This window comes from Homo sapiens, chromosome 12 (assembly GCF_000001405.40).
Source record: "Homo sapiens chromosome 12, GRCh38.p14 Primary Assembly".
Taxonomy (NCBI): Eukaryota; Metazoa; Chordata; class Mammalia; order Primates; family Hominidae; genus Homo; species Homo sapiens.
Genome location: NC_000012.12, coordinates 2,124,735 through 2,145,004, shown reverse-complemented (window position 1 = coordinate 2,145,004; position 20,270 = coordinate 2,124,735). Strand labels below are relative to the sequence as shown.

Below are 20,270 nucleotides of genomic sequence, written 5' to 3'. Positions count from 1 at the left end.
CACCTCTAATACTGCAGAGGGTTGAAAGTTTGCTCAGTTCTTTCCCTGGTATGTTCTCTTTCCTCCTAGAAGCCTCTCCTGGTCCCTCATGACAGGTGTGGCTTTACTTCAAACAGACACAATCTACTCCCCATGAAGATTTGTAGGTCCTCCTCACTCTTTTATCCCTTTCATTCAGCAAGTCTCAAGTTTTATGATTTAGGGATCACTTTAGCAGGATGAAAAACTCTACAAACAATCTACCCTAAAACATTTTTTTCAATCATAATTTAAGACAAATGTCATCTTCATGAGACAGCCCCCGCTTCCATGAAATACAGTGATCATTAGTTTGGGTTTTGTTTTTTCAGTAGCACGCGTAAAATATTAACTTAAAACAAATATAGTCACACCCCAAACCTAAACATTTTAGAGGTGAGTTATAAATGAATAAATAATTATGTAAATAGATACTGAATACCTGTCTCCCTTAGATAGAAGGATGCCCTATGAAGGCAGGAACTGTGTGTGTTTTAAGCACTGCTGTGTCTCATACATGATAGGTGCTCGATAGGTAATTGTTGAATGAATGAAAACAGACCACCCTAAGAATGATCTTAGACTGAACTTTGGAAATTCTGTGTTTATATGTCAAAATGATATCTTTCACATGGAATGGTGTCTCTTCTTTTCCTTACCTGGAATCCCAGCACTCCTACCATTGGTCCAGACAATTCTTCTACACCCTTCAAGATGGCACTCAAGCCCGGCTTCTTCCAAGAAATCCTTTTCTACCACTCCAATTCATGCTAACCACTGCCTTATTGGCTTTCTAATAATCACATTACAGTCAGAATCCTGCAGATAGCTCCTAATTTTTCCATGTGTCTTAGTTGTTTTCTCAGCGTTTACACAGGAATGATTAGTCCTCCTGTGTGCCCACGTGGTGCTGACCACAAGCAACAGAGCAGGGATCAGTTCATCTTTGTTTGACTGGACCAACTAACTAGCCTACTGTTACCAATACCAGTGATTATAAATTCACAGTCAGGCAGCTGAAAAGTAAAGACACAACTTACATCATATAGATAGCATGTAAATAGCACTGGGTGTTGGGGTGAGGTGGAGAGAGGAAATAGCAAATCGAAAGGGTGGGCATTGGGGTGGGGCAGGGAGAAAAATCATAGGAAGGCTCTGCATCACTAGAGGAGGTACCACAACCCAACCAAATCCAGGAAGCCCCACATGAATGGTCTTCTCAACAAAGTCCTTTAAAGTTTACCCCTAATTATAGTCTTGTATCTCCTGATGACAGGGATACATTCTGAGAAATAAGTCGTTAGGTGATTTTGTTGTTGTGTGAACATCAGAAAGTGCACTTACACAAACCTGGATGGCACAGCCTACGACACACGCAGACTGTATGCTACATACAGCCTAGTGCTCCCAGGCCTCTGACCGTGCCTGAGACTGTACTGAACACTGTAGCAACTGTCGCACAATGGTAAGTATTTGTGTATCTAAACATGTCTAAACATAGATAAGGTACATAAAAAATAATCTATAAAAGACAAAAAATGGTGCACCTGTATAGGGCACTTACCATGAACGGAGCTTGCAGGACTGAAAGTTGCTCTGTGTGAGTCAGTGAGTGAGTGGTGAGTGAATTTGAGGGCCTAGGACATTACAGGACACTACTGTCGACTTTACAAACATTGTGCACTTAGGCTACACTACATTTATTTTAAAGATTTTCTAGGCCAGGTGCGGTGGCTCACACCTGGAATCCCAGCACTTTGGGAGGCCAAAGCGGGTGGATCACCTGAGTTCGAGACCAGCCTGGCCAACATGGTGAAACCCCGTCTCTACTAAAAATACAAAACTTAGCCGGGCATGGTGGCAGGCACCTGTAATCTCAGCTACTCGAGAGGCTGAGGCAGAAGAATTGCTTGAACCTGGGAGGCGGAGGTAGCAGTGAGCCAAGATAGCACCATTGCACTCCAGCCTGGGCAACAGAGAGAGACTCCGTCTCAAAAAACAAAAAAAAAAATTTAAAGATTTTCTTTATTCAATTAAAAATTAACCTCAGCTTACTGTAACTTTTCTACTTTACAAACCTTTTAATTTTTTTTAACTTTTTGACTCTTTTGTAATAACACTTAGCTTAAAACACAAACACACTGTATAGCTGTACAAAAATACTTTTCTTTTATCCATATTCTATAAGCTTTTTTCTATTTGTAACATTTTCTTAACTTTCAAGGTTTTTGTTAAAAACTAACACACAAATGTCCACATTAGCCTAGGCCAGGATCGTCGATATCAAGGATCAGGATCCTTGGTCAGGATCATCCATATCACTGTCTTCCACATCTTGTGCCACTGGAAGGTCTTCGGGGAAAATAATACACAGCTGCATGTCCTAAGATGACAATGCCTTCTTATGGCTACCTCCTGAAGGACGTGCCTGAGGCTGTTTTACAGTTAACGTTTGTTTTAATAAGTAGGAGTATACTCTAAAATAACAGTTAAAAGTATAGCACAGTAAATACGTAAATCAGTAACAGTCATTTATTATCAAGTATTGTGTACTGTACAGTACTGTACAGAACTGTCTGTGCTAGACTTTGATAAGACTGTCAGCCCAGTAGGTTTGTTTACAACAGCACCACACCACCACACACACGTAAGTAATGAGTGCCACTGCACCATTACGACGGCAGAAAGATAGGGAGGTTTCGGCTCCGTGATAGTTTTATGGGACTACCATCGTACATGTGCTCTGTCCTTGATCAGACTCTTGTTATGCAGTGCCTGACTGTATGATCCACCCCACACGGTCCTTGGGAGATGGTGGGAGGTGACGTGTGTAAGGCACAGAGCTGCACACTGCGGCACTCATAAGCATTAGGCATTCTTGCCACCATCACGTGCCAGGTGGTGGCTGTCCCCCACCAGACCAGGGACTTCCCCATTCAGTGCTGCCTCCCCAATACAGAGTCTTGTCCCAAGGAGGCAGTGCTCCCCAAATGAAGGAATGCTGGAAAGGAGAGGATACCCTTCCCACGTCATCCCTTCAAAGAGCCGCCCGGCTTCCGCTTTATGGTATCCTCATGCAGGCTGGGTTATTATGGCTTACACAGGGCTGGTCACCCACCCCAGCTGCCATAAAGGAAAGGGTTGAGCTTGAAAATGCAGTCTGCCTCACCCCACTTCCAGATAGATGGGGGCCAAGCGCTGTCAGATATACAGCAATCTGGGTGTCCACAGCTGTCTCCACGCTCCTTTCCCCTGAGGCCAAAGTCTACCCAGGGCCAGAGGCGCTAAGGAGTGGCCTGCTGCATGGGCCAACCTTCTGGAACCTCGCAGCCCCCATCAGCGAGGAGCCTGAGTGCTCGTTACGGAGCTTGCATCCCTTATGGGGTGACCAGAAAGGTTTCTCTTATGGATCTGGATGTAGAGAAGTTGCTAGGGAAATGAAGGCTGGATGGCCAAGCCCACAGTGTACACAAAAGAGACGGGAAAACACCTCACAAGAGCCTTGTGTCCCAGAAGCTTCTGGCAGGTCCCTTTGACATGTTTCCATGACCGACTTCCCTTCAAGAAATGGCAGCTTGCACCGTCCAGGGCTTTCTTCCCCAGTGAGCTCTGGCCAGGCCCTCTGGCAACCACATCAACTGCTCTGGGAATGCTAAAGTCAAGGCCGTAACCCTCGCCTATCTCTGCTACCTTCCTAACCCTCCTCCAGATCCTTCCTGCTCCTCTGGAGCCTTGGGAAGCACACAGACCTGCCAACGTCACACTCACAACAAACTCCTCATGCTGACCCACATAATTCAGCCCCTGTCTGCCCCTCCAACCCCACTCACATCCTCCTTCATCTCCCCTCCTGAGCAGCAGCCACAGTGGGCCCTGCTCACCTCGGGGTCCTGGCCCTGCTGTCCCCTGCCCGCAGCCTCCTCCCCAGGTCTGCCCAGAGCCAGCCCATCTTGTCACCACCTCTCAGCCCCAGTGCCACCTCCTCAGAGAGACCCTCCCTGCCTACCCGCTCCAGGTGGGCCCTTACCCTGGAACTCTCCATCTCATTATCTCCTTTACTTTCTCCATGGTATTAATATTCACAGTGCTCTGAAAGCATGGTGTGTATGAAGTTGCCAGTTGTTTATTGGCTGGCATCATAAGAACGTAAGCTCTTATCAAACCTGACAAGCTCTGTGAGGGCAGAGACCCTGCGCACCCTTGTTTCCGCACATCTTGCTTTTCCAGCACCTAGCCTGGTACACAGTAGGCATTTAATAAATATGACAGAAGGAATGCATGAAGGAATGTGCTCATATGAAGTCAAATGGTCTACTTGTCAGGCAAAAGACCACAGATGCACAGAACATAAAAGAATCCTCTACATATACTCCTCTCCTAGATTAAGAAAAATGAACAAACAGAGGTCAAGAGAAGCAAAGACATTTGCCCAAGGTCACTCAGCTGGTGAGGAGCAGAGAGAGGTCTGGGATGGAGGCCTCCTAGCCTCTCATCTGGTGCTGTCTCAGCCATGCCACACCTTGCCAGAATCCCTAGTCCATGAACAGCTTCTCTTCTTCACATATTCATTCAGTTATTTATTCAGCAAATACTCATCGAGTGCCTTCTATGTTTCAGGAACTGTGTTAAGAACAGACACCAAACCAAAAGTGACTGGGAGGCCCTTGTCTGCAATCCCAAAGAAATCACCCTGCAGTCGTGAACAATGGATCCTCTTGCTGGAGGGTCTCCGACCATTCTGCAAATCGTCCACCCACCGTGACTGTTCCCAGAGTGAGCTGGGGCCTGTCCCTGTCCCAGGACAGAGGTTCTCTGGTTATGGGACAGGTTCTCTGCCAAAATATGATGACAACACACAGCCGTATGGGCAGTGAGAGAGGGGTCTGCAGGGAGGGACGCCCTCCAAAGCTCCTAGCCTAGTACACAGCACCAGGAGCTGCCTGGGTCACCGCTGGTCCACCAAGAGCTGCTCATCCTGTTTGGACTGAACTGTGGCAGAGATAAGCCCCTGCTGAGACCCCTGCCAAACCTGATTCACAGCACCCTGAGAGCCAGGGAGGAGGCCAGCCCTTCCCTGGATGGCCTCGGTGCTTAGGGATCCAGAAGCCAGGGCATGTCGCATGAGGCCCGCTGTGTCCTGGGAGCGGCCTCACCCCTTACACCTCCAGTTCACACTGCATGCTCCCATCTTTAGGGCGCATGTCTGAGGCCAGCGGGCAGAGGAGGCAGAGAATGAGGAGGCATTGGTGCTAAGCTGCAGGACTAAGATATAACTGGAGGACCTCAGGGGCGCAAGAGATCTCCTCTGCCACACATGCCACGGTCCCTCAGGCGGCTATACTGTAAACGGGTACAGAAGCCCACCCTGTCTGGAGCTAACAGGCAAGGGCAGCGGCCCAGTCAGGACCAGCATCCACACTGAAGCACACCTTCCTTCAAGAAACACTCTAACAGCCTGGCCTGGCCCTCACAGACATGCGCAAGGCCCCAGCTGTACTCCAGGTACTGCACTGGATCTGTGTAGATGTGATCCCTTCTTGCACAGGGCTCGCTGCTGGTGAGAGCTGCAGATGGACTTTATTTGGAAATAAAGTCTTTGCAGATGGAATCATGTGAAAATGAGGTTATACTGGATTAAGGTGAAGGAGCCCTAATCCAATGACTGCTGTCCTTATCAGAGGAGGGAAAGCTGGACACAGAGACACAAACACCCAGGGGAGCGCGCCATGTGAAGACGGAGGCAGAGATCTGGAGTGAGGCACCTAGAAGCCAAGGGATGCCAGGCGCTGCTGGCAACACTGGAGCCAGGGCAGGAGCACGGAACACACTCCTCAGAGTGCCCAGAGGAACCAATGCTACTAACACCTGGACTTTGAAACTCTGGCCTCTGGAACTGTGAGACAATAAATTTCTATTGTTTTAAGCCACCAAATGCATGGTATTTTCACAGCAGTGCTAGAAAACAAACACACTGAGAGACGCAGATGAGTAAGCAGGAGGCTAAATGTGCTTTGATAGGGGTCATCTAGAATGCTATGGAAACACAGAGGGCAGCACCAAAGCCAGTCATGGAGGAGCAGAGAAAACTTCCTACAAGAAGGGACTCCAAGTCTGGGCCTTGGGGATTGTCTAAGTCCATTTGTGTTGCTATAAAGGAATACCTGAGGCAGGGTTACTTAAAAAGAAAAGAGGCGTATTTGGCTCACGGTTCTGCAGGCCGCACAAGAGGCATGGCTCTAGCATCTGCTTCTGGTGAGGGCCTCAGGCTGCTTCCACTCATGGCAGAAGGGGAAGGGGAGCCCGGCGTGTGGCTGAAAGACCATGTTGGGCTTCACCTCTCTCTGGGATAACCTCTGGAACATTCCTCCGATGGGCAGGAAGCGTGGAAGTGACCCCGGCCTGCTGCTGGTCACTCTCTTACCTGCTCTCTCTGGTCAGTCTAGCAGAAGTGGGACTCGGAGCCACACCCTGGCCTTCGACACCTTCTCCCACAAGGCCCGTCCCTATCAACCGTGCCCAACTGCCAGGGTTCAAGCACCTCCACACTGTGAGCTGCGTACACAGCCCAGCCCTCAAGCATAGCATCCACCACCTGCCACCTGCCTTCCCCCACACAACCAGGATCCATCTGCAAGCACAGGCCACACCAAGGCTTGTGCTCCCCAGCCCTGTGAAGGCTGGCCTGGCCACAGGGACCACAGCACTTCCAGTCAGATCTGATGAAGCCTCGGTGCAGACGTGAGGTCTCCTCCTGGATATCCTGGCCTTCCTTATTCTTGATGCCTGACCTTGTTCCTCAGGACTCAAAGGCACAGAGAAGAGAGGCTGCCCCAGGCCATGTTTCTGACTGTGTGCCCGAGAGCCCAGATAATAAAAGCCCTGGGGTTTTCCCACTATTTCTGCTATGCATTTGAGGAAGGGGTTTGCAAGTCACAGGACAGCACCAAACGAACTACTCAGCAGCTACACTCGCTGTGCCAGAGTTCAGCTAGACCCAGTGAGAAAACAGGGAGTGGCCCGCATGAGCTCCCGGCAGGGGCGCCTGTGTGAGGCGATGTGTCGGCTCCAGGACTGCACACAAAGACAGGGTCCACTGGCCTGGCGCTCCCGGACCCCGGCAGCCCTGCCAGACTCTTGGCAGCAGGCAGGTTGCAGCCACACCACTCACCACCCATCTTGGAAAGGTCAAGAACTAAATTTGGAACTTGGCTTCTAGTTCTTTTGCATCTCTAAGTTATCTTGAGAGGAGGCTGAGGAAAAAGGTTCACAGAGGAATGTGCCAGAAAAAAAAAAACAGTAAGTATTTTAGAGACAAATATATCTGTCTAGTTTGAATCATAACAGTAATAATGATCACAATAATGCCTCTATGTTTATATGGCACTTTGCATTTTTCCAGAGCATTTTAAAAAATAAACATGGGGTCTCGCCCCATCACCCTGGTGTAATCATAGCTCACTGCTGCCTTGAACTCCTGGGTTGAAGCACTCCTCCCGTCTCAGCCTCCCAAGCAGCTAAAACTACAGGTGCAAGCCACCATGCCCAGCTAATGTGTGTGTATGTGTGTGTATATATATACTTTTTTTTTTGGTAGAGCTGGGCGGAGCATTTCTATCTATATTCTCATTTGCCCTTGCCATAACTCAGTGAGGTAGGAATTATTATCTTTATTTCACAGCCGAGAAACCTAAAACTCAGAGAAGTGAAGTGACAAGGCCGTGCCACCAGGCAGAGGTAGAACTGGAACCAGAGCCCAGGGCTAGGACATGCAGCTCAGCACTCTCTTACTACCCATCCCACATCCTGGTGTTCAGGCCGTAGCTCTTCGATGTTTCCACGTCTCCAGTGGGGCCTAGGGTGCACAGGCAAAACCTGTGGAGCCTCTCGGCACGAGAGGGGGACTGCTCTCACCTGGGCGGGGCGCCGTGGGGTCCCCCACATGTTATGCTCTGAGCCCTGCCAACCACCAGTACTGACTGGGGTCCCATGAAGGCCCCAAGTTCAAATGCAGGCCCAGCAGCTCCCAAGATCTGCTTCCAAGGACTCAGTCCACGAGAAGGGTCCCTCAAGTTTTAAGTTTGTCTCAGAAAGTCAGGCTGATTCTGGGTTCCCTCACCCCAACCAGAGATTCTCATCTATTTAGGAAGAGGCCCGGGGGCCTGTTTGGTTGAGGATCTCAGGTAATATGAATCACTGATCCCTGGGAAAATATGGCCTCAAAGCCAAGTCTACCTCTCAGGTAGTAGCAGATGAAAAGGCCTCCCCTTTGCCTACCCCTTATGCTTTCCAAATGGCATGGCCTGGGGGCTCCATGGCATGCCCCCAGGACCCCTACAGACACCACCCAGCCTGGGGACGTTCACTCCCTCCTTCACTGTTGCTCCTCCCTTGGTCCTCTTGGTAAAGACAGAAGCGCACACACTGCATAAACTCTAGTTGAAGGCCTGATAATTAAGGCATCGTATTCAAAGCAAAATACCCCTCCCATTTATACCTTAGTTGGGGGCCACACAGCATAGCAGTTAAAAGCACAGACTTGGGAGCCACACACCCAGGCTGGAATCCCAGCTCCACTGCTTCATAGCTATGCAAACTTGGGCAAGTTAGTTCATTGCCCTGTGCCCCTTCCTCATCTTTAAAATGGGGTGATTACAAGAAAGGTCTCGAGGAGGAGCCAAGATGGCCGAATAGGAACAGCTCCGGTCTACAGCTCTCAGCGTGACCGACGCAGAAGACGGGTGATTTCTGCATTTCCATCTGAGGTACCGGGTTCATCTCACTAGGGAGTGCCAGACAGTGGGCGCAGGCCAGTGGGTGCGCGAGCCAAAGCAGGGCGAGGCATTGCCTCACCTGGGAAGCGCAAGCGGTCAGGGAGTTCCCTTTCCGAGTCAAAGAAAGGGGTGACGGACGCACCTGGAAAATTGGGTCACTCCCACCCGAATATTGCGCTTTTCAGACCGGCTTAAAAAACGGCGCACCACGAGACTATATCCCACACCTGGCTCGGAGGGTCCTACGCCCACGGAGTCTCGCTGATTGCTAGCACAGCAGTCTGAGATCAAACTGCAAGGCGGCAGCGAGGCTGGGGGAGGGGCGCCCGCCATTGCCCGGGCTTGATTAGGTAAACAAAGCAGCCGGGAAGCTCGAACTGGGTGGAGCCTACCACAGCTCAAGGAGGCCTGCCTGCCTCTGTAGGCTCCACCTCTGGGGGCAGGGCACAGACAAACAAAAAGACAGCAGTAACTTCTGCAGACTTAAATGTCCCTGTCTGACAGCTTTGAAGAGAGCAGTGGTTCTCCCAGCACGCGGCTGGAGATCTGAGAACGGGCAGACTGCCTCTTCAAGTGGGTCCCTGACCCCTGACCCCTGAGCAGCCTAACTGGGAGGCACCCCCCAGCAGGGGCAGACTGACACCTCTCACAGCAGGGTACTCCAACAGACCTGCAGCTGAGGGTCCTGTCTGTTAGAAGGAAAACTAACAAACAGAAAGGACATCCACACCAAAAACCCATCTGTACATCACCATCATCAAAGACCAAAAGTAGATAAAACCACAAAGATGGGGAAAAAACAGAACAGAAAAACTGGAAGCTCTAAAAATCAGAGCGCCTCTCCTCCTCCAAAGGAACGCAGCTCCTCACCAGCAACAGAACAAAGCTGGATGGAGAATGACTTTGACGAGCTGAGAGAAGAAGGCTTCAGACAATCAAATTACTCTGAGCTACGGGAGGACACTCAAACCAAAGGCAAAGAAGTTGAAAACTTTGAAAAAAATTTAGAAGAATGTATAACTAGAATAACCAATACAGAGAAGTGCTTAAAGGAGCTGATGGAGCTGAAAACCAAGGCTCAAGAACTACATGAAGAATGCAGAAGCCTCAGGAGCTGATGCGATCAACTGGAAGAAAGGGTGTCAGCAATGGAAGATGAAATGAATGAAATGAAGTGAGAAGGGAAGTTTAGAGAAAAAAGAATAAAAAGAAATGAGCAAAGCCTCCAAGAAATATGGGACTATGTGAAAAGACCAAATCTACGTCTGATTGGTGTACCTGAAAGTGATGGGGAGAATGGAACCAAGTTGGAAAACACTCTGCAGGATATTATCCAGGAGAACTTCCCCAATCTAGCAAGGCAGGCCAACGTTCAGATTCAGGAAATACAGAGAACGCCACAAAGATACTCCTCGAGAAGAGCAACTCCAAGACACATAATTGTCAGATTCACCAAAGTTGAAATGAAGGAAAAAATGTTAAGGGCAGCCAGAGAGAAAGGTCGGGTTACCCTCAAAGGGAAGCCCATCAGACTAACAGCGGATCTCTCGGCAGAAACCCTACAAGCCAGAAGAGAGTGGGGGCCAATATTCAACATTCTTAAAGAAAAGAATTTCCAACCCAGAATTTCATATCCAGCCAAGCTAAGCTTCATAAGTGAAGGAGAAATAAAATACTTTACAGACAAGCAAATGCTGAGAGATTTTGTCACCACCAGACCTGCCCTAAAAGAGCTCCTGAAGGAAGCGCTAAACATGGAAAGGAACAACCAGTACCAGCCGCTGCAAAATCATGCCAAAATGTAAAGACCATCGAGACTAGGAAGAAACTGCATCAACTAATGAGCAAAATAACCAGCTAACATCATAATGACAGGATCAAATTCACACATAACAATATTAACTTTAAATGTAAATGGACTAAATGCTCCAATTAAAAGACACAGACTGGCAAATTGGATAAAGAGTCAAGACCCATCAGTGTGCTGTATTCAGGAAACCCATCTCACGTGCAGAGACACACATAGGCTCAAAATAAAAGGATGGAGGAAGATCTACCAAGCCAATGGAAAACAAAAAAAGGCAGGGGTTGCAATCCTAGTCTCTGATAAAACAGACTTTAAACCAACAAAGATCAAAAGAGACAAAGAAGGCCATTACATAATGGTAAAGGGATCAATTCAACAAGAAGAGCTAACTATCCTAAATATATATGCACCCAATACAGGAGCACCCAGATTCATAAAGCAAGTCCTGAGTGACCTACAAATTGACTTAGACTCCCACACAATAATAATGGGAGACTTTAACACCCCACTGTCAACATTAGACAGATCAACGAGACAGAAAGTCAACAAGGATACCCAGGAATTGAACTCAGCTCTGCACCAAGCGGACCTAATAGACATCTACAGAACTCTCCACCCCAAATCAACAGAATATACATTTTTTTCAGCACCACACCACACCTATTCCAAAATTGACCACATAGTTGGAAGTAAAGCTCTCCTCAGCAAATGTAAAAGAACAGAAATTATAACAAACTATCTCTCAGACCACAGTGCAATCAAACTAGAACTCAGGATTAAGAATCTCACTCAAAGCCACTCAACTACATGGAAACTGAACAACCTGCTCCTGAATGACTACTGGGTACATAACGAAATGAAGTCAGAAATAAAGATGTTCTTTGAAACCAACGAGAACAAAGACACAACATACCAGAATCTCTGGGATGCATTCAAAGCAGTGTGTAGAGGGAAATTTATAGCACTAAATGCCCACAAGAGAAAGCAGGAAAGATCCAAAATTGACACCCTAACATCACAATTAAAAGAACTAGAAAAGCAAGAGCAAACACATTCAAAAGCTAGCAGAAGGCAAGAAATAACTAAAATCAGAGCAGAACTGAAGGAAATAGAGACACAAAAAACCCTTCAAAAAATCAATGAATCCAGGAGCTGGTTTTTTGAAAGGATCAACAAAATTGATAGACCACTAGCAAGACTAATAAAGAAAAAAAGAGAGAAGAATCAAATAGACACAATAAAAAATGATAAAGGGGATATCACCACCGATCCCACAGAAATACAAACTACCATCAGAGAATACTACAAACACCTCTACGCAAATAAACTAGAAAATCTAGAAGAAATGGATAAATTCCTCGACACATACACTCTCCCAAGACTAAACCAGGAAGAAGTTGAATCTCTTAATAGACCAATAACAGGAGCTGAAATTGTGGCAATAATCAATAGCTTACCAACCAAAAAGAGTCCAGGACCAGATGGATTCACAGCCGAATTCTACCAGAGGTACAAGGAGGAACTGGTACCATTCCTTCTGAAACTATTCCAATCAATAGAAAAAGAGGGAATCCTCCCTAACTCATTTTATGAGGCCAGCATCATTCTGATACCAAAGCCGGGCAGAGACACAACAAAAAAAGAGAATTTTAGACCAATATCCTTGATGAACACTGATGCAAAAATCCTCAATAAAATACTGGCAAACCGAATCCAGCAGCACATCAAAAAGCTTATCCACCATGATCAAGTGGGCTTCATCCCTGGGATGCAAGGCTGGTTCAATATACGCAAATCAATAAATGTAATCCAGCACATAAACAGAACCAAAGACAAAAACCACATGATTATCTCAATAGATGCAGAAAAAGCCTTTGACAAAATTCAACAACCCTTCATGCTAAAAACTCTCAATAAATTAGGTATTGATGGGACGTATTTCAAAATAATAAGAGCTATCTATGAAAAACCCACAGCCAATATCATACTGAATGGGCAAAAACTGGAAGCATTCCCTTTGAAAACTGGCACAAGACAGGGATGCCCTCTCTCACCACTCCTATTCAACATAGTGTTGGAAGTTCTGGCCAGGGCAATTAGGCAGGAGAAGGAAATAAAGGGTATTCAATTAGGAAAAGAGGAAGTCAAATTGTCCCTGTTTGCAGATGACATGATTGTATATCTACAAAACCCCATTGTCTCAGCCCAAAATCTCCTTAAGCTGATAAGCAATTTCAGCAAAGTCTCAGGATACAAAATCAATGTACAAAAATCACAAGCATTCTTATACACCAACAACAGACAAACAGAGAGCCAAATCATAAGTGAACTCCCATTCACAATTGCTCAAAGAGAATAAAATACCTAGGAATCCAACTTACAAGGGTTGTGAAGGACCTCTTCAAGGAGAACTACAAACCACTGCTCAAGGAAATAAAAGAGGATACAAACAAATGGAAGAACATTCCATGCTCATGGGTAGGAAGAATCAATATTGTGAAAATGGCCATACTGCCCAAGGTAATTTACAGATTCAATGCCATCCCCATCAAGCTACCAATGACTTTCTTCACAGAATTGGAAAAAACTACTTTAAACTTCATATGGAACCAAAAAAGAGCCCGCATTGCCAAGTCAATCCTAAGCCAAAAGAACAAAGCTGGAGGCATCACACTACCTGACTTCAAACTTTACTACAAGGCTACAGTAACCAAAACAGCATGGTATTGGTACCAAAACAGAGATATAGATCAATGGAACAGAACAGAGCCCTCAGAAATAACACCGCATACCTACAACTGTCTGATCTTTGACAAACCTGAGAAAAACAAGAAATGGGGAAAGGATTCCCTATTTAATAAATGGTGCTGGGAAAACTGGCTAGCCATATGTAGAAAGCTGAAACTGGATCCCTTCCTTACACCTTATACAAAAATCAATTCAAGATGGATTAAAGATTTAAACGTTAGACCTAAAACCATAAAAACCCTAGAAGAAAACCTAGGCATTACCATTCAGGACATAGGCATGGGCAAGGACTTCATGTCCAAAACACCAAAAGCAATGGCAACAAAAGACAAAATTGACAAATGGGATCTAATTAAACTAAAGAGCTTCTGCACAGCAAAAGAAACTACCATCAGAGTGAACAGGCAACCTACAACATGGGAGAAAATTTTCGCAACCTACTCATCTGACAAAGGGCTAATATCCAGAATCTACAATGAACTCAACCAAATTTACAAGAAAAAAACAAACAACCCCATCAAAAAGTGGGCGAAGGACATGAACAGACACTTCTCAAAAGAAGACATTTATGCAGCCAAAAAACACATGAAAAAATGCTCATCATCACTGGCCATCAGAGAAATGCAAATCAAAACCACAATGAGATACCATCTCACACCAGTTAGAATGGCAATCATTAAAAAGTCAGGAAACAACAGGTGCTGGAGAGGATGTGGAGAAATACGAACACTTTTACATTGTTGGTGGGACTGTAAACTAGTTCAACCATTGTGGAAGTCAGTGTGGCGATTCCTCAGGGATCTAGAACTAGAAATACCATTTGACCCAGCCATCCCATTACTGGGTATATACCCAAATGACTATAAATCATGCTGCTATAAAGACACATGCACACGTATGTTTATTGCGGCATTATTCACAATAGCAAAGACTTGGAACCAACCCAAATGTCCAACAATGATAGACTGGATTAAGAAAATGTGGCACATATACACCATGGAATACTATGCAGCCATAAAAAATGATGAGTTCATGTCCTTTGTAGGGACATGGATGAAATTGGAAATCATCATTCTCAGTAAACTATCACAAGAACAAAAAACCAAACACCGCATATTCTCACTCATAGGTGGGAATTGAACAATGAGATCACATGGACACAGGAAAGGGAATATCACACTCTGGGGACTGTGGTGGGGTGGGGGGAGGGGGGAGGGATAGCATTGGGAGATATACCTAATGCTAGATGATGAGTTAGTGGGTGCAGCGCACCAGCATGGCACATGTATACATATGTAACTAACCTGCACAATGTGCACATGTACCCTAAAACCTAAAGTATAATAAAAAAAGAAAAGAAAAAAAAAAGAGATATTTAAATGTATTTGCTAATAAACGCAAAGCTGGTTAATAAGCTCAAAGGTAATAAAATGTAATGTTTGGCATTAAAAAAAAAAAAAAAAAAAAGAAAGGTCTCATGGGGTAGTCGAGGGGACTAAATGAGTTAACACACGGACCATAGAGCAATGCCAGCAGCGTAAGGGCTGAAGTTATTGCTGCTATTATTATTAGTTAGAAGGCGCCAATCCAACAACTTCAATCATACAGAAACTAGAGAGAACAAAGAGAATAAAGGGGAAAAATGGCTTCTAAGAAGCCAAAATCAATGTTATAAAACCCATAAATTAAAGCTAATGCACTTTATTCATAAGTAAGCCCCATAGGTCCTCAATCAGGATCTATTTACTCTAACTTTGCACATAACTGTAATGGACTTGATCAACTGGTTCCCAAGCCTGCAGGAGAGAGGGGGGAGCAAATTAATCAGGCTGGTGCTGGAGGAGGCTGACACCCCAACAGGGTGGTGCATGAAAGGCACATCCCAAATCTTCCCCAGGTCAGGACGTTCCGGGACCCTGTGCGGGTTGCTTAGCTCTCCTGACAGCTCCCCAGCATTACAACAGGTGCAATCATTGAAATTCCTAAGAATTGTATAGTCCCAGAAAAAGGATGAAATATGTTCAGATTTTTCTTTTAAGGATCCAGGGATTTGTATTTTATATTCTGGAAAGACTTCCTTCAAATATACTTAAATTACAAGAAGTTTGGTACATGAAAGGGGTTCTATTACATAAACAGTGAATTTATTTGGAAGATTCTCCCCCAAAAAATGAATAAAGATGGATAAAACTGGAGCAAGAGGTGTCACCATATTTAGACTTCAAATCATCATCTCTCTTTTCCCATCCGCTGGCAAACGCAGAGCAGACAATGCTTTCTCCTCTCTCTGAAATATTTAGTGAGTAAACCCTGAGTCAAACAATTGCCCCAGGCTCTCTGCGGGTTTATGACCATGAGATGAAGCACAGACCCATCCAGAAGCTGCCATCTATTTTGAAATGCCATGTTCCTGATGAAGACAGTCCTGTGGTCTTTGCTCCTTTCCTACACCAGCCTTGCAACGTGTCTCATCCCGTTTCCAGCTCTGTCCTTTCTCCTAATGCATCGGTTCTTGGGGCAACACAGAGCAGCATTTCCCAAAGGTGTGAGCCCGGGAACACCATTCTTCAAGATGTCTGTGATGGTATGAGTGGGAAAGGTGATGTGCTGTCTGGCTAGTCCAGGGACTCACGGAGCACCTTACCACACAAGGAGGCAGCTGTAGCAGAATGGCTAAGAACACAGACCGGGAGATGCCTCACCCACTTCTGCATGGCCATGACTTCGCTTCAGGGCTACATCTCACAGGGTGAATTATTTACCTTCTCTGAGCTTGTGTGTGCTCATCTATTGAATGGGATAATAACATCTCATCGTGCTATAATCATGTTTAAACGCATTTATACGCAAGGCACTTAGGACAGCATCTGCACATGGTGTGAAGTCATAAGTAGTGTCTGTTGCTGTTGTGTTAGAGGCTTGGAGAAGTCTTATAATAATGTATTTACCTGGCCGGGCGCAGTGGCTCACGCCTGTAATCCCAGCATTTTGGGAGGCCGAGGCGGGCAGATCACGAGGTCAGGAGATCGAGACCATCCTGACTAACACGGTGAAACCCCGTCTCTACTAAAAATACAAAAAAATTAGCTGGGCATGGTGCTGAGCGCGTGTAGTCCCAGCTACTCGGGAGGCTGAGACGGGAGAACGGCGTGAACCCGGGAGGTGGAGCTTGCAGTGAGCCGAGATCGCGCCACTGCACTCCAGCCTGGGCGACAGAGAGAGACTCTGTCTCAAAAAAAAGGTAAAAAAATAATGTATTTACCTTTGGCTAACTTGGTACTTACTGAATTTATTTTGCAACAGAACCAAATTTTGTTTGTTTTTATTTTAAATCTGTTAATACTGCTACAGAGTGTTTAATCTTTAAAATATTTTCACATATACTTCATTGGATACTCACAGCGACCCTACACATCCCAGGGAACAGAGCAAAGAACCCAAGCTGTGGTTTCATACAGTCCTAAGTTCCAACTACAGCCCTGCCACTGCCTCACCAAGTCACTTTACTTCTCTGAGACTTTACTTTCTTATCTGAAATAAAGGGATAACACTTCACAGGATCCATTCATTCACCCAGGGTTCACTCAGCAGATATTTATGGAGAGCCTTACGTGTGCCAGTTATTGCCAAAGCACTGGGGATACAGCCATGAACAAGAGGGATACATTCTCTACCATCAAGTAAACAAATAAATAGAAAGCATAATTTACAGTTGTGGAGATTAGAAACATTGCACGCAAAGCTCTGGTACCTGGTGGTCACTCAATAAAGGCAATTACAATGACTAAGCAAGCATTACTACTCCACGTGCCAAAAGAGATACCAACAGAGAGGTTAAGTGACTGACCTAAGGCCACACAGTTCAGATCTCTCTTCCTAGGTCAGTGCCTGCAACTCTGGCTCTGGTATAGCTTTTAAGACACACCCACACCCAGGTCCCACTCAGACCCATTCAGCCGGAAAATCTGAGGGGAGAACTGACTCCGTAGAAGCACTTTCCCAATGCGCTGTGTCAAGCTCATTCTCTCATCCAAAAACAGGCTCTCCACCCTGCCTTCCACACCCCACTACACAGCACAGGACAGGGTGTTTGTACATGATACAGTAGCTATGTGGTTTGTTGCTTGTAGTTATCTATTAGTGTATTTTATAACCCTAGCATTTCTGCAAACCCTAACACCTGCTGCATTAGGACAACACATAAGAGATAGCAATAATAAAGCTCATTTCATTGTCATCATTATTGTTGATGCATGAAAGCCCTATAAAAATACTTCTCACTCTTAGGCAAACCTGATAATAAAAGAAAACACAGTTCACTGCAGGGAGAGGAGGGGAACCCAAAGTGGCATTTCCATTCACTTCTCAAAGCACGGGGGGCGATAGGGCTCAGACGCATCTCAGAACTTGCGGTGGTGGTCCAAGTGCAGGGCCCCATGTCGGGTGATTCAACCCAGCACTGTGTGGGAATGGGGGAACCTCAGGCTGACAGGCACCTCCTGAGCAGACTGGCAAGAGACACACAAAGCTCAGGGGTGGGGGAGTGGGGTCCCCCACCAGTGCTCTCCCTCTGGGGCTCTTCTTTGGCCATTAATGGATCCCAGCTTCTCTCCCTGTGTAGTCAGAAGGCAAGGGTGAGCACACAGACACTAATCTTGCTGGGTCACAGCTGCCAAAAAGCACAGCGTTTTGGTCTCTTCTTTCCCACCCTTCTGAGGCCAAAGCTAGCACAAGGTGCCAATGACTGTGACTTACCCCCAGGGACCAGGCAGAGGGGAGGGGCCCTCAGCCTGGCTTAGAGTTCCAAAGAGCAACACACATTCGCCTGTGCTGGGCATGTCCTGTGAAGTTTACTTATGGTAACTCACTTAATCCTCTCAGCCAGGTTATGAGGCAACTCTGGTTGCCCCAATTTTACACCAATAAATGGGCAAATCTGACATCTCAACCTTCTTCCTAGTCTAGCTCAAGCCCCTCTGACGGACGGCTTCTCCTCTCACAACCTCTGAAGGAAGAAAGCCCAGCCAAAAGATGATCCCTTTGATGGCCTCATCCCGTCTTCTCTCCACCTCCACTTCAAGCTTGGCTCTTGCTCCAGAAAGTACATGCACTGTTCTTTGCACAAGGTCAAATGCCAAATATATTCTCTTAATATTTCAACTCAAGCCAAGTCTTCGTGGGCTTCAGGGTATGCAGAGGACAGGAAGTTTTCCACACACAATGAGTCGGCTCCGCTTGCAGAGCTTGTTCAACAGACATCAGACAATCTACCTAACAGGTAATAGCTCTTGGTAGACAGGGGTTACAGCTGCTATATTATAAACGATGTGCTGCATAGAGGTGGCATTGCCAATAACAGCACTAAATCTAAAGAAAGAATTGTCATGTCATGGCCCAGTTCAGCTTTCATTATGCTTCACTAGCATGAGGAAAAGATAACAAAGATGATGGATTTTGGTGCAAAAGTGTATGTTAGATGGAGCATACAACAAACAGACTTTTATTTAAATAATGAGAGAGAGATCTTTTAAAAAAAAAACTCTATTCTGGAATACTTTTCATCTCTTGGAAACAGAAGAAAGCAAAGTGTTAGAAAAATAAGTGGGAGAAAGGAAAGGGCCTGCGACAGAATGGGTGGAAGCCGATGCGTTTGCGAGGGAATCTGAGAGCAGGAGCAAGCACAGATGTGAATTTGCAAGTGTGTGTGAAAAGAAGAATCTTTTCTAATTCTGTGACAGTGTGAGTGTGCTTTGCTAAATAGATTATTCTTGAACCCAATGGAGTGGGAAAGCTCTCAGCAGTTGACGTGTGTCGTCTTTCTGCTTGGATCCTAAAGGGAACCTGTGGGTAGACAGAGCTGATTGCGGAGGGAGCTGAAGGTGGATCCAATCACACCATGAGGAACATTCTAGGTCACTGTTCTCAAAGAGCAGCCCAGGACCACTTGCATCAGAACCCCAGGGGAGCTTATTAAAAATTCAAACTCCTAGGGCCCACTCCAGAGTCAGAATCTCTGGGAGCAGGGCCTGGGAACATGCATTTTAATCATCTCTATGAACTTATGCCACAGGGGTTGAGAGCCACCTGCTTCAGGTGCATCAGCATCTCTTCTTTGCTGTTTCTCAGAGTAGGGCTCTGAAATCGCAATTCTTTAATTTTTTAAAAAAAGCTATGAAACTAATGGAGGATTTCTCAAGCTTCATTTTCGGGGTACATAAGTGATTTGGGGCATCCCACTCTGGCACAACAATGGGAATGTTTCAAGCATTGAACCTCAGCAAACAGTTGTCATGCACCTACTACTTCAGGGCCTCCATAGGGGTACAGACACAGATCAATATCCTCTTCTCGTACTTTTGGCCCTAAGCTCAGCTCTTCTCAGTCAGGCCAATCCTCTTGTCATTGGCCTTGAGTTGCCATGAGCCACGATTTTGAACTACCAACCAGCCCCTCTTGAATATCTTAAACTCTCTGTTCCCTTAGCTTCTAAGACTCCACTCTCAGCAGGTTCCCCTCCTACCTCTCAGGCTAAGCCTTCCTGACACGTGGTGTATGACCTTCCTTTGCTCCTCTTCCTCCACCCTCTGCAAACGTCACTGTTCTCCAGGGTCTGGCTGTGGTCACTGCTACCCTCCCACTCCACCCTGATGCAGGTGCTCTGGGCCATACCTACAGCTTCTCCTTGTGTCTCTCCTCCTGTTGCCCCCAAGTCTCCATCCTCAGCATAAACAGTCTCCTGGGTTGCAGGCTCCTGTCGACCGCCGGTAGGACATCCCCAGCCTCACGCTCCACGGGCTCCTCCACTTGACAATCCCTAATCGTACGCATCATTCCCTGCCCCTCAAATATGACCTTCCTCCTGAAGTCTTTCTCCTGGCCAAGGGCACCTGGCTCCTCGTATCACCATCCTGGGAGCCAGCTCTCTC

The 20,270-nt window shown here is 46.3% G+C and overlaps 1 protein-coding gene and 1 long non-coding RNA gene across 56 annotated transcripts in view, besides 4 other annotated features; both read right to left on the bottom strand.

Moving 5' to 3' along the window:
- The window catches only part of LOC107984131 (uncharacterized), a 36,596-nt gene extending 23,560 nt beyond the window's left edge, over nt 1–13,036 (bottom strand). Inside the window, exon 1 of the long non-coding RNA XR_001749435.2 lies at nt 12,994–13,036. This is a non-coding gene — a long non-coding RNA (uncharacterized LOC107984131). The remainder of the gene's footprint in view (nt 1–12,993) is intronic.
- Nucleotides 1–20,270, bottom strand: part of CACNA1C (calcium voltage-gated channel subunit alpha1 C) — a 727,171-nt gene that overhangs the window by 552,946 nt on the left and 153,955 nt on the right. The window lies entirely within an intron of this gene.
- Nucleotides 4,723–5,222: an enhancer, noted in NCBI's record as "H3K4me1 hESC enhancer chr12:2248949-2249448 (GRCh37/hg19 assembly coordinates)". NCBI's record gives its function as "activates a minimal SCP1, AML or CMV promoter by ChIP-STARR-seq in naive H9 embryonic stem cells {active_cell/tissue: H9 hESC(naive)}" and the evidence as "EXISTENCE:reporter gene assay evidence [ECO:0000049][PMID:30033119]".
- Nucleotides 5,223–5,724: an enhancer, noted in NCBI's record as "H3K4me1 hESC enhancer chr12:2248447-2248948 (GRCh37/hg19 assembly coordinates)". NCBI's record gives its function as "activates a minimal SCP1, AML or CMV promoter by ChIP-STARR-seq in naive H9 embryonic stem cells {active_cell/tissue: H9 hESC(naive)}" and the evidence as "EXISTENCE:reporter gene assay evidence [ECO:0000049][PMID:30033119]".
- Nucleotides 7,087–7,882: an enhancer, noted in NCBI's record as "H3K27ac-H3K4me1 hESC enhancer chr12:2246289-2247084 (GRCh37/hg19 assembly coordinates)". NCBI's record gives its function as "activates a minimal SCP1, AML or CMV promoter by ChIP-STARR-seq in naive H9 embryonic stem cells {active_cell/tissue: H9 hESC(naive)}" and the evidence as "EXISTENCE:reporter gene assay evidence [ECO:0000049][PMID:30033119]".
- Nucleotides 8,679–9,474: an enhancer, noted in NCBI's record as "NANOG-H3K27ac-H3K4me1 hESC enhancer chr12:2244697-2245492 (GRCh37/hg19 assembly coordinates)". NCBI's record gives its function as "activates a minimal SCP1, AML or CMV promoter by ChIP-STARR-seq in primed H9 embryonic stem cells {active_cell/tissue: H9 hESC(primed)}" and the evidence as "EXISTENCE:reporter gene assay evidence [ECO:0000049][PMID:30033119]".